This window comes from Homo sapiens, chromosome 8 (genome assembly GCF_000001405.40).
Source record: "Homo sapiens chromosome 8, GRCh38.p14 Primary Assembly".
Lineage (NCBI taxonomy): Eukaryota > Metazoa > Chordata > Mammalia > Primates > Hominidae > Homo > Homo sapiens.
Window position 1 is genome coordinate 103940178 of NC_000008.11, and position 13870 is coordinate 103954047.

General features: G+C 36.5%; 1 protein-coding gene across 64 annotated transcripts in view; it reads left to right on the forward strand.

Moving 5' to 3' along the window:
• Positions 1 to 13870, forward strand: part of RIMS2 (regulating synaptic membrane exocytosis 2) — a 755485-nt gene that overhangs the window by 439568 nt on the left and 302047 nt on the right. For 63 of the 64 annotated variants that reach the window (NR_145711.2, XM_017014015.3, XM_017014010.3 and 60 more), the window contains one exon: positions 2596 to 2749. Coding sequence is in view for 62 of the 64 variants with exons in the window: in XM_017014015.3 (XP_016869504.1) it covers positions 2596 to 2749 (154 nt within the window). In the remaining 2 variants the exon portion in view is untranslated. Of the gene's footprint in view, positions 1 to 2595; positions 2750 to 11023; positions 11229 to 13870 lie in introns of all 64 variants that reach the window. The other variant, NR_145710.2, reaches the window with a different exon arrangement.

A 13870-nucleotide genomic window follows, 5' to 3' on the forward strand; every position in this document is an offset into this window, starting at 1 on the left:
ACTGGGAAGAAAAAGAGTTTTAACAGACTTACAGTTCCACATGACTGGGGAGGCCTCACAGTCATGGTGGAAGGCAAGGAGGAGCAAGTCATGTCTTACATGGATGGCAGCAGGCAAAGAGAGAGAGAACTTGTGCAGGAGAACTCCTCTATAAAACAATCAGATCTTGTGAGATTTATTCATTATGATGAGAGCAGCACGAGAAAGACCCACCTCCATTATTCAATTACCTCCCACTGGGTCTCTCCCATGACACAAGGGTATTGTGGGAGTTAAAATTCAAGATGAGATTTGGGTGGGAACACAACCAAACTATATCAGTTTTTTTTTTCTGAGTAAATTAAATGGTAATCTCATGGGAAAAACAACAATCTGTAGAAATATTGAAGTGAATGTTGTCAGCTAAGGAACCAAAGAGTGGTAAAACTAAAAACCCTTCTGTATTTCCAGCACTTTGGGAGGCCGAGGGGGGCAGATCACCTGAGGTCAGGAGTTCGAGACCAGCCTGACCAGTGTGGCAAAAACCTGTCTCTACTAAAAATACAAAAATTAGCTGGGCACAGTGGTGGGCTCCTGTAATTCCAACTACTTGGGAGTCTGAGGCAAGAGAATCACTTGAGCCCGGGAGGCGGAGCTTGCAGTGAGCCAGGATCGTGCCACTGCACTCCAGCCTGGGCGACAGAGTGAGACTCCATCTCAAAAAAAAAAAAAAAAAGCTAAAATCCCTTGTGTGACCTTTGGGAGGAAGGGTCACACAGTTGTTAGGAGCAGAGATTCTGGAGCTAGCTGCCTGGGTTTATATTCCTGGCACTACCACTTCTTAGCCTTGTGTCTTTGAACAAGTTATTTAACCCATCTGTGCTTCAGTTTCTTCTTCAGCCAAGTAGGAATAATACTAGTATGCAACTCAGGGTTAATATGAGAATTAAATAAGTGTGTTGTATTGTGTGTTTGTAATCCTTTCGAACACAGTACCTATAATTTTGAAAATGACTAGAGAAAATTTAGGAAGAATGAAACAACTCCAGGCATGGTGGCTCACACTTGTAATACCAATCCTTTGGGAAGCGGAGACAGGGGGATAGCTTGAGACCAGGAGTCCAAGACCAGCCTGGGTAACACAGCAAGAACCCCATGTCTAAAAATAAATAAAAAAAGAAATTAGCCAGGCATGGTGGTGCATACAGTAGTGCCAGCTACTCAGGAGGCTGAGGTGGGAGAATTGCTTTACCCTAGGAGTTTGAGGCTGCAGTTAGCTGTGATTGCACCCCTGCACTCCAGCCTGGGTGACATAGCAAGACCCTGTCTCAAAAACAAAAAATAAAGAATGAAATATTAACTTGGCTGTATTGCTTCTTTACCTCCCTTAGATAAATAGTAATTTATCTTTATGTGGCAGTTCTTGTAAACACAAAGCACAAACACTGTCACTTGCACAACCTCCTAAAAAAAATAGACATTCATTTCTACAGACTTACATTTTGGGTAAATTTTAAAAATATTCCTATTATAAAATTTATATTATAATATGGTTCATATTTAAAATCCGTTCTTGTTTTTTTCTTTTCTTGTTTTAAATCTTTAGCAGGATAGTATGATAAATACAGAATTTTAAATAAGACAGGCTGATTCAGTTTACACCTCTTTCACTTACAAGCTGGTGTGACCTTAGACAAGTTCTTTTAACCTTTGTTAGCCTTGGTACTTTTGCTTATGAAAATTAAACAATAAGACGAAGCTAGTAATTTTTTAATAATTATGACAGAGAATATGGCACGGTTCTTAATACACAGTAGGCACTTCAATTGTAAGAGTTAATTTTTTTTAACTTTTAAGTTCAGGGATACATGTGGAGGTTTGTTACATGGGTAAACATGTTTCATGGGGTTTGTTGTGCAGATTATTTCATTACCGAGGTATTAAGCTTAATACCAATTAGTATTTTTCCTGATACTTTCCCTCCTCCTACCCTCTACCCTCCGGTAGGCCCCAGTACGTGTTATTTGCCTCTGTGGGTCCATGTGTTTCTCATCATTTAGCTCCCACTTAAAAGTGAGAATGCGTGGTATTTGGTTTTTTGTTCACACATTAGTTTGCTAAGGATAATGGCCTCCAGCTCCATCCATGTCCCTGCAAAGAACATGATCTTGTTCTTTTTTATGGCTGCTTAGTATTCCATGGTGTATATGTACCATATTTTCTTTATCCAGTCGTCACTGATGGCCATTTAGGTTGACTCTAAATAAAAATGCTTTTTAAATTCTAAAATGATATACAAATATTAGTTATTATTACAGTCATTTAAAATGAAAAGTGTTATTTTTGTAATGGTAAATTTGATAGACTCTAGTAGTGGGTAGTCAAGGGTCAACAAAATAAATGTCTTAGATATTTAAAACTATTAAATCACTAAGAAGTTATAAAAGTTTATTTTTTGTCAAGAACATATTGACAATTTTGCAACGTCTAAATGACCTTGTTTTTCATGTAATAGCATTACTATTATAATTATTACTACAAAAGTTATAGGACCATTTAACATAATTTCTTTATTATTGGTATATTATAACCGTCCTTTGTCTCTTGGGTTTGTAGATTTTAATTGAATTAGAAACAGCATTATTAGATGATGAGCCACATTGGTACAAACTTCAGACGCATGATGTCTCTTCATTGCCACTTCCCCACCCTTCTCCATATATGCCACGAAGACAGCTCCATGGAGAGAGCCCAACACGGAGGTTGCAAAGTAAGTTTTACTAAAATTCTTTCATATTTTTATTGTATTTTCCTAATCTTGAGTGATGTATGTGATAAAGAACTTGAAGATATCTTTGTGAATATTAATAGTCATTTGTTAGTGTTTCCATAGCTATGAATTGTTTGAAAACAATTGTTTGAAGCTTTTGAATTGTTTGAAACACTAAAATAAGGTTGTACCCATAGCATTCACCTATCACAATGTTGAAGTGGTTTATATTTGTATTTTGGATGATATGACACCAAATAAGCATATTTACATTTAAATCTTAGTGCTTAGAATCCTAAATATAGGAATAAGATGGCTAATATGAGTTTAGCCACATAGTTGTATACACAAAATTATCATTTCCTCCTTTATTATTCTAGGTATTTTATGAATATGTAGTATACCAAGTATACTATAGTGGTTGAAACCATGAACTTTAATTCCAGACTACCCTGAGTTTAAATATTAATTCTTACACTTTAGAACTGTATGTCTTGTGGCAGATCCTCTCTCTATGCCTCACTTTCTTTGTTTATAAAAGGGAAATAGTAATACCTGCATTACAGGGTAGTTATAAGAATTAATTAGTCTCAATAATATAAACTGATGTTATTATTACTATTGTTATTATCATCTACCTGCACATTTTGCCCTGGATTTTACAGTCTGAAATATGAAATAGAATTACATCACTCCATAGATGCTTAAAATAAACTCAGAAATATTTTCCAGATTGAATAATGACATTGTAGGCTTTTCGCCCCTAAAACTCAGGTCATTATTTTTCTAATGAATCTACTATTGGAGACTGAGGTGTATGCATACTGTTTTGCATAGTATTCATGGGGTAGTTATATCTTTACGGAGACAGCATGCTCCAGTTTTAGCAACATTTTGTCAAGTGCTGCAGGACTGATTGACATTAACCAAATTTTAGAAGTATAAATTTATAAACACAAATGCCATGTCATTTATTAATCATGGGAAGTATAGCTGGTAACTTAACAAATGAGTATTGTGTATATGGATCACACCCTTCTGCTGAATAGAAGAATACATTATATATGTTAGAAGTCTGCTTGATTAGTAGAGAATTAGAGGTAAGGATTGATCTTATGGGATACTTAGTAGTCATAGGAAAGCCTAGAGAATTATTTTCACTCCTTTTTAAAATAACCTCTCTAATTACTGGAATTTTATTTCCACTTAATACAGTCTTGTACCTTTGGATGGTATTAATTGAGCACTAATTCTACAGTGTCAATGTCTTTCAGCCTCCCCACATAGTAAACACCCATACACTTCTATTTTCAAATGTCATTACGACATCCTTTGTTGTAATAATTACATTACAATGAATTGTATGTAAATTAATTTTATTCTTTGTGACCATTGTATCTATTCAGTACTTTCTCTCTGAATTACAGTGTAGGATGGTGGGTTATTACATGATGATTACTACTGTATGTACCAACCTAATATATTTTATGTACTAATTCTTAAAGTTTATAGGCTGCTAACACTTGCCAGCATCTTCTTTTCATTCGGGACTGGCCTTCAGTTTTTATTGCAATAGGTAATAGATTGAGGACTCTGAATACCTGAAACGCTTAAATCTACCAACATTTTTCATTTTTTTCCCCACACTACTTAGGGATAGTGGATATGAGAAACAATGAGATTAGAGTACTGGTTAGCTGTATGTGTCATGGATTTTCATGGAATTATTATAATTTATCTTGTAGCTTTTAATATTTTCACATCCCCATATGATCTTTCTGGTATTTAGTAATAGTATTAAACTTACCCATGGGTAATATAATGGCTGCATGTAGTACCATGTCAGTCTTGTCACTATCAACTAACCTCTAATAAATAATTTATTAATGATATGTAAGCCTGAAGATAAGTAAAAACATGTGCATACACATAAAAGAAAGAAACAAGAACTAGGAAATAACATTTATGAATAGATAGAAAGCTAAAAACAACATTACCTTTGGCTAATTAGGCTAATAGGATGTATTAGTCATAATGGAAGGTACAAGTCAGAATATGAATAAATAAATCTACTAATATGTTATAAACTCCTTTGATGACAAGAACCTCCTTAAGGGTTTTTCTTCATCCAGTGGATAAATATTGCATTTAATTTTAAGTATATGTATCATATTTCAAAGATCGTGATCATATTTGATAGAACATACAGATGAACAGTTATCATTAAAAGTGTGTAATTCCCCTTTGGGGAATTACATTGGAATACAATGAACAACTCTATGCCAAAAAGTTAAACAACATTACAGAAACTGATCCATAAAAAGCTAAAAATCTGAATAAACCTGTAATAAGTAAAGAAGTTGAATTAATGAATTGATAATGAAAAAATCTTCCCACAAAGAAAAACCTAGGCTTCATTCTTGAATTCTTTTAAACCTAAGAAAAGAAACACTAATGTTTCTCAAATTCCTTGATAAGAAAGAGAAAGGGAATACCCACCAAATCATTCTATAAGGCCAGTATTTTCCTCATACCAAAGTCAGACAAACACATTAAAAGAAAAGAAAACTACAGACCAATATTCCTCATGAACATACACACAGACATCTTCAACAAACTATTAATAAATCGAATCCAACAGTGTATACAAAAGATTATACACCATAACCAAAAGGGATTTATCCTAGTAATGTAGAGTTGATTTATTATCCAAAAGTCAATTAATATAATTCAACATATTAACAGAAAAAAGAACAAAAACCACATGAATATATGAAAATATGAAGATAAAGCTTTGGCAGAATTCAATGCTCATTCACAATTAAAAAAAAAAAAAAGTGAATGGTCATAGAAGAGAACACAGTAGGCCTAGAAGAGAACCCTCCACAAAGTAGGCATAGAAGAGAACTTTCTGATGAAGACCACCTATGAACACCCTTTAGATGACAAACCGTATTTCATGGTAATAAATGCTTTCCCTCTAATATTGATAACTAGGAAAGGATGTCTCTTCTTATCACTTCTATTCAGCAGTGCACTAGAGATTGTAGTTAGGACAGTCAGGCAAGAAAAATACATAAAAGGCATTCAGAATGGTGAGGGAGAAGAGAGAGAAACTGCCTTTATTCACAGATGACGTGATTCTATATGTAGAAAATTCTAAAGAACCCACACAAAAACTACTAGAACTAATAAACAAGGAGAGCAAGGTCCCGAGATACATGAACAATATACTAGAATCTATTCATTAACATTTTAATACTGAAATTAAGAAAACATTTTTGACCAGGTGCAGTGGCTCATGCCTGTAATCCCAGCACTTTGGGAGGCTGAGGCAGGCAGATCACTTGAAGTCAGGAGTTTGAGACCAGCCTGGCCAACATGGTGAAACCCCATCTTTACTAACAGTAGAAAAATTAGCCTGGCGTGGTGGCAGGCGCCTGTAATCACAGCTACTCAGGAAGCTGAAGCAGGATAATCGCTTGAACTTGGGAGGCAGAAGTTGCAGTGAGCCAAAATCATGCCACTGCACTCCAGCCTGGGTGAGAGAGCGAGACTCCATCTCAAAACAAACAAATGAAAAACAAAAACAAAACAACAAAAAAATAAGAATGAATTAAATTTTACAAAAGATGTTCAAACTCGTACAATAAAAAATCACAAAACATTGTTCAGAGAAATGAAAAAGAGATATAAATAAATGGAGATGTATTCCACATGCATGAATTAGAACACCCAGTATTATTAAGATGGTAGCTCTTCCCCCAATTAGTCTACAGATTAAACCCAATTCCTATCAAAATCTAAGCAGGATATTTTGCTGAAATTAGTAAGCAGATTCTAGCCTTTATATGCAAAAGTATAAGATCCAGAGCAGCCAAAACAAATCTGGAAGATGTATATTTCCTCATTTCCATACTTATTGTACAGCTACAGTAATTGCAGTGGTGTAATACTGACATAATGATAGACCTATAGATAAATTGAACCTAATTTAGAATTAAAAATTATATTCATGGTCAGTTGATTCTCAACAAAGGATCCAAAGCAAATCAATGGGGGGGAATAGTTTTTTGTTGTTGTTGTCTTTTTACTAATAATGCTGTAACAATTTAATATCCACATACAAAATAGTTAATTTAGACCTGACCTCACACTATACACAAAAATTAACTTAAAATGGATAATAGACCCAGCTGTAAGAGTTAAGACTATAAAAGTCTTCAAAGAAAACATAGGAGAAAAATCTTCATTCCTTTGGGTTAGGCAGAGTTTTCCCCAAAACACCACCAAAAGCTTGATCAATAAAAAATAATACATTGGACTGCATCAAAATTTAAAATATTTGCTTTTCAAGACATCATTAAGAAGATTTTTTTAAAGCCTCAGGCTGGGAGAAAATACAGTCATGTGGCAGCTAATGACCAGGTTACTTTCTGAGAAATGTGCCATTAAACATTGTCATCATTGTATGAACATCATAGAGTGCACTTACACAAGCCTAGGTGGTGTAGCCTACTATACACCTCAGCAATGTGTTATAATCTGTTGCTTGTAGGCTACAAACCTGTACGAGCATGTTACTGTGCTGAATACTATAAGCAATTGTAACGCAATGATAAGTATTTGTTTATCTAAACGTATGTAAATATAGAAAAGGTACAGTCAAAATATGGTATAAAAGATTAAAAAATGATATACGTGAATAGGGTACTTATCATGAGTGGAGCTTGCAGGACTGGAAGTTGTTCAGGGTGAGTCAATGAGCAACTTGGTAAGTTAATGCAAAGGCCTAGGACATTACTGTATACTATAGTAGACTTTATAAACATCGAACACTTAGGCTACACTTTATTTATTAAAAAAGTAATTATACTGTGACATTGTGATGGCTATGACATCAATAGGGAATTTTTCAGCTCCATCATAATTGTATGGGACCGCTATCTTATATACAGTTAGTTGTTTACTGAAACATCATTATACAGCACATAATGTTTATTTGTGAGTCATATATTTGACAGAGGACTTGCATCCATGATATATAAGGAGCCCTTAAAATGCAATAATAATAAGATAATAGTGCTGTCAAAAAGTGGGCAAATACTTGATAGTTATTTGAAAGATTAAAATATATGGATCACAAATAAGGCCATGAAAAGCTGCCCAACATCGTTAGTTATTAGTGAAATGCAAGTTATGCCACAATTACATTACTTAACACCCACTAGAATGAATGTAATAAAAAAGAAAGATGATAACAAATTTTTGCAAGAATGTGGAGAAATTGGAACCCTCATCCATTTGCTGATGTAAATGTGAAATGGTACAACCACTTTGGAAAACAGTTTGGTCTTTGTTAAAAAGTTAAAAATAAATTTACCGTATGACCACTAATTCACCTTCAAGAGAAATGAAAGTGAATGTTCACTGAAAGACTTGTACGTGAATGTTCACAGCAGCATTATTCACAATGATTAAAAGGTAGAAATAGTCCAAATATTCATCAACCTGTGAATGGATAATAAAATGTGGTATATCCTCACAATTGATTTCTATATATAACAAGAAAGAAGATACGGCTACATACTACAATATAGTCAAACCTCAAAAATATTATGCTAAATGCTGAATGAAAGATGATACATGCAAAAGGCCATGTGTTCTATGATTCTACTTATATAACATATATAGAAGTGACAAATCTATTGAGACAGATTAAGTTAGCAGTTGGCTGGAAGTAGCAATAGACACTGACTGAAAATGGGTGTGAACAATCTTTTGGGGGTGAAGGAGATATTCCAACATTAGATTGTAGTGATGTATACACAAATTTTAGAATTTACTGAAAATTTCTGAACTGTATACTTAAAACAAATATTTATGTTATATAAATTATACCTCAATTTTAGTCAAAGCCAGGCATGATGGCTCACACCTGTAATCTCAGCCTCTTTGGGAGGCTGAGGTGGGAGAATTGATTGAGCCCGAGAGTTCGAGACCAACCTGTACAACATAATGAGACCCCATTTTTACAAAAAAAAAAAATAATTAGCCGGGTTCAGTGGCATGCACCTGCAGTTCCAGCTACTTGAGAGGATGAGGTGGTAAGATGGCTTGAGCCTGGGAGGTCGAGGCTGCAGTGAGCCATGATCACACCACTACACTCCAGCCTGGGCAACAGAGTGAGACTCTGTCAAAAAAAAAAAAAAAAAAAAAAAGGGAAAGGGAAAGGGAAAGGGAAAGGGAAGGAAAGGGAGAAGAGAAGAGAAAAGAAAATGCAGTAATAAAACTACAGAATAGATACAATCTCAATTACAGTAAGAGATTTTAGTACTCCGCTGTCAATGTTTGTAGAACAAATAGAAGGCTTGAAGGTTTTATCTGACATTTACAAAACATTCTACAAGTCAGAAAACACCTTCTCTCCAAGTTCATTGAGAACATTCACTAAGGTAGACCTTAGTCCTGCCCAAACAAGTATCGATAAGTTTAAAAGTACTCAAGTCAAAGTTTGTTATCTGATCACGATAGAAATAAATTAGAAATCAATAACAGAAAATCTCTGGACAAGCTTGAAATATTTATAAATGAAATAACACTTCTAAATAGCCATGAATCAAAGGAGAAGTTAAACAGGAAATTAAAAATTATTTTGAACTGAATGAAATGAACACCTAATGTATCGATATTCATGGGATACAACTAAAGCAGAACAGTAGGGAAATGTATAGCATTAAAGACTTATATTATTAATACCAAAAAAATTCTCAAATCAGTGACATGTTTTCACCTTAACAAACGTCAAAAAGAAGAACAAAATAGACTCAAATTAAGTAGAAGAAAGGGAATAAAAGTCAAAATAGAAATAAGTGAAATAAAGACAGAAAGTCAATTGAGAAAGTAAATCGAACCAAAGGTTGGATCTATGAAATTATCAATATAATTGATAAGCCTTTAGGCAAAATGATCAGCAAAGAAAGAAGACAAATTATCAATATCTGGAAAAAGGTGATATCAGTACACATTCTACAAATATTAAAAAGACAGTAAGGGAAAATTGTGAACAACTTGATGCAAATACATTTGACAACCTAGGTGAAATAGAAAATTTCCTTGAAACACACAAACTTGAGTCTCTCCCAAGAAGAAAGAAATAACTTGAGTAGCCCAATATCTATTTGAGAAATGGAATTTGTAGCTAAAAATTTTCCCTCAAAAAAAATTTCAGGCCCAGATGACTTTATCAATAAAGTCTGCCTAACATGTAAGGGTGATAAAATACCAATTCTTTACAAACTCTTGCAGAATATTATAACGTTGGGAATACCATCCAGCTCATTTTATGAAACAAACATTACTCTAATACCAACAACTAACATATTAAAAGAAATCTGCAGACCAATAAACCTCATGAAAATTTTAGCAAATTTAGCATATTAAATTTAGAAATATTTTGCAAAATAAAAATACAGAAAATTGAATCCACAATACATAAAAGGGATAATATATCATGACCAAATGTTTTTTATACCACGGATGCAATGTTTAACATTTGAAAAACAGAATGTGACTCACCATATTAAACTAAAAAAGAAAAAAATTATATCATAATCTCAAGAGATCATCTCAAGAAAGAGCATTTGATAAAATCCAATGTTCATCCCTGTAAAAGACCCTAAGCAAAGTAGGATAGAAAGGAACTTCCTCAATCCAATAAAGAACATGTATCAAACCCTACAGCTAAATCATATTGGTAAAAGACTGCATTCTTTCCTCCCAAGGTCACAAATGAGAAATGATGTCTGCCCTCCCAGCTGTTATTGAAAGTTGTAATTGTGATTCTAGCTTGTATCATAAGGCAAGAAAAATCAAATGCATCCAGATTGAAAAAGAAGTAAAAGGGTGCTTATTTGCATACATGTTCATTCATATAGAAAGTCAAATGGGATCTATACAAAAACTATTATAAGAAGTGAATCTATCAAGGTTACTGGATATAAGATCAAGATACAATATCAATTATTTCTATGTACCAGCAATAAACAATTGAAAATTGAAAAATACAGTGCCACATCAAAAAGTCAATTCACCACAATCAAGTATTCTTTATCCCTGGGATGCAAGATTGGTTCAACATGCACAAATCAATAAATGTGATTCATCACATAATCAAAACTAAATACAAAAATCACATAATCATTTCAATAGATGCAGAAGTGGCTTTCAATAACATTCCACGTTTCTTCATGTTTAAAACTCTCAATAAACTAGGCATTGAAGGAACATACTTCAAAATAATGAGAGCCACCTATGACAAACCCATAGCCAACTTCATAGTGAATGGGCAAAAGCTGGAAGCATTTCCCTTGAAAACTGGCACAATTGCTGGCAAGATGACCGAATAGGAACACCTCTGGTTTGCAGCTCCCAGCGAGATCGACGCAGAAGGCGGGTGATTTCTGCATTTCCAACTGAGGTACCCAGTTCATCTCATTGGGACTGCTTGGAAGTGGGTGCAGCCTAAGGTGGGCAAGCCAAAGCAGGATGGGGCGTTGCCTCACCCAGGAAGTGCAAGGGGTTGGAGAACTCCCTTTCCCAGCCAAGGGAACCCATTAGGGACTGTACCTTGGACTCTGGCCCAGATACTGTGCTTTTCCCATGGTCTTCACATCCCGCAGACCAGGAGATTCACTGCAGTGCCCATGCTACCAGGGCCCTGGGTTTCCAGCACAAAACTAGGTAGCCATTTGGGCAGACACTGAGCTAGCCACAGGAGTTTTGCTTTTCATACTCCAGTGGCACCCAGAATGCCAGCAAGACAGAACCATTCACTCTCCTGGAAAGTGGGCTGAAGCCAGGGAGCCAAGTGGTCTGGCTCAGCGGATCCCACCTCAATGGAGCCCAGCAAGCTAAGATACACTGTCTTGAAATTCTTGCTGCTTGCACAGCAGTCTGAGTTCTACCTGGGACGCTTGAGCTTGGTGTGGGGAGTTGCATCCACCATTGCTGAGCCTTGAGTAGGCGGTTTCGACCTCACAGTGTAAACAAAGCGGCCAGGAAGTTTGAACTGGGTGGAGCCCACCACAGCTCAGCAAGGCCACTGTGGCCAGACTGCCTCCGCAGATTCCCTCCTCCCTGGGAAGGGCATCTCTGAAAAAAAGGCAGCAGCCCCAGTCAGGGACTTACGGATAAAACCTTCACCTCCCTGGGACAGAGCACCTGGGGGAAGGAGCGGTTGGGGGCGCAGCTTCAGCAGACTTAAACGTTCCTGCCTGGCAGCTCAGCTCTGAAGAGAGGAGCAGATCTCCCAGCACAGTGTTTGAGCTCCGATAAGGGACAGACTGCCTCCTCAAGTGGGTCCCTGACCCCCATGTATCCTGACTAGGAGACACCTCCCAGTAGGAGCTGACAGACACCTCATACAGGAGAACTCTGGCTGGCATCTGGTGGGTGCCCCTCTGGGACAAAGCTTCCAGAGGAAGGAACAGGCATCAATCTTCGCTGATCTGCAGCCTCTGCTGGTGACACCCAGGCAAACAGGGTATGCAGCAGACCTCTAGCAAACTCCAGCAGACCTGCAGCAGAGGAGCCTGACTGTTGGAAGGAAACCGACAAACAGAAAGGAATAGTATTAACATCAACAAAAAGGACGTCCACTCAGAGACCCCATCTGAAGGTCACTGACTTCAAAGACCAAAGATAGATAAATCCATGAAGATGGGGGAGAAACCAGTGCAAAAAGGCTGAAAATTCCAAAAACCAGAACGCTTCTTCTCCTTCAAAGGATCACAACTCCTTGCCAGCAAGGGAACTAAACTGGATAGAGAATGAGTTTGACGAATTGACAGAAGTCGACTTCAGAAAGTGGGTAATAACAAACTCCTCCAAGCTAAAGGAACATGTCCTCACCCACTGCAAGGAAGCTAAGAACCTTGAAAAAAGGTTAGACGAATTGCTAACTAGAATAACCAGTTTAGAGAAGAACATAAATGACCTGATGGAGCTGAAAAACACATCATGAGCATTTTGTGAAGCATACATGAGTATGATTAGCTGAATTTATCAAGTGGAAGAAAGGATATCAGAGATTGAAGATCAACTCAATGAAATAAAACAAGATTAAAGGAAAAAGAGTGAAAAATGAACAAAGACTCCAAGAAGTATGGGATGATGTTAAAAGACCAAATCTATGTTTGATTGGTGTACCTGAAAGTGACGGGAGAACAGAACCAAGTTGGAAAACACTCTTCAGGATATTATCCAGGAGAACTTCCCCAGCCTGGCAAGGCAGGCCAACATTCAAATTCGGAAATACAAACAACATCACAAAGATACTCCTTGAGAAGAGCAACCCCAAGGCACATAATTGTCAGATTCACCAAGGTTGAAATGAAGGAAAAACTGTTAAGGGCAGCCAGAGAGAAAGGGCGAGTTACCCACAAAGGGAAGCCCATCAGAGTAACAGTGGCTATCTCGGCAGAAACCCTGCAAGCCAGAAGAGAGTGGGGGCCAATATTCAACATTCTTAAAGAAAGGATTTTTCAAGCCAGATTTTCATATCCAGCCAAACTAAGCTTCATAAGTGAAGCAGAAATAAAATCCTTTGCAGACAAGGAAATGCTGAGAGATTTTGTCACCACCAGGCCTGTCCTACGAGAGCTCCTGAAGGAATCACTAAACATGGAAAGGAACAACCGATACCAGCCACTGCAAAAACACACCAAATTGTAAAGACCATCGACATTATGAAGAAACTGCATAAACTCATGGGCAAGATAACCCATTAGGGTCATAATGGCAGGATCAAATTCACACATAACAATATTAACCTTAAATGTAAAACAGGCTAAATGCCCCAGTTAAAAGACACAGACTGGCAAATTGGATAAAGAGTCAAGACCCATCAGTGTGCTGTATTCAGGAGACCCATCTCATGTGCAGAGACACATATAGGCTCAAAATAAAGGGATGGAGGAAGATCTACCAAGCAGATGGAAAGCAAAAAAAAAGCAGGGGTTGCAATCCTAGTCTCTGATGAAACAGACTTTAAACCAACAAAGATCAAAAGAGACAAAGAAGGCCATTACATAATGGTAAAGGGTTCAATGCAACAAGAAG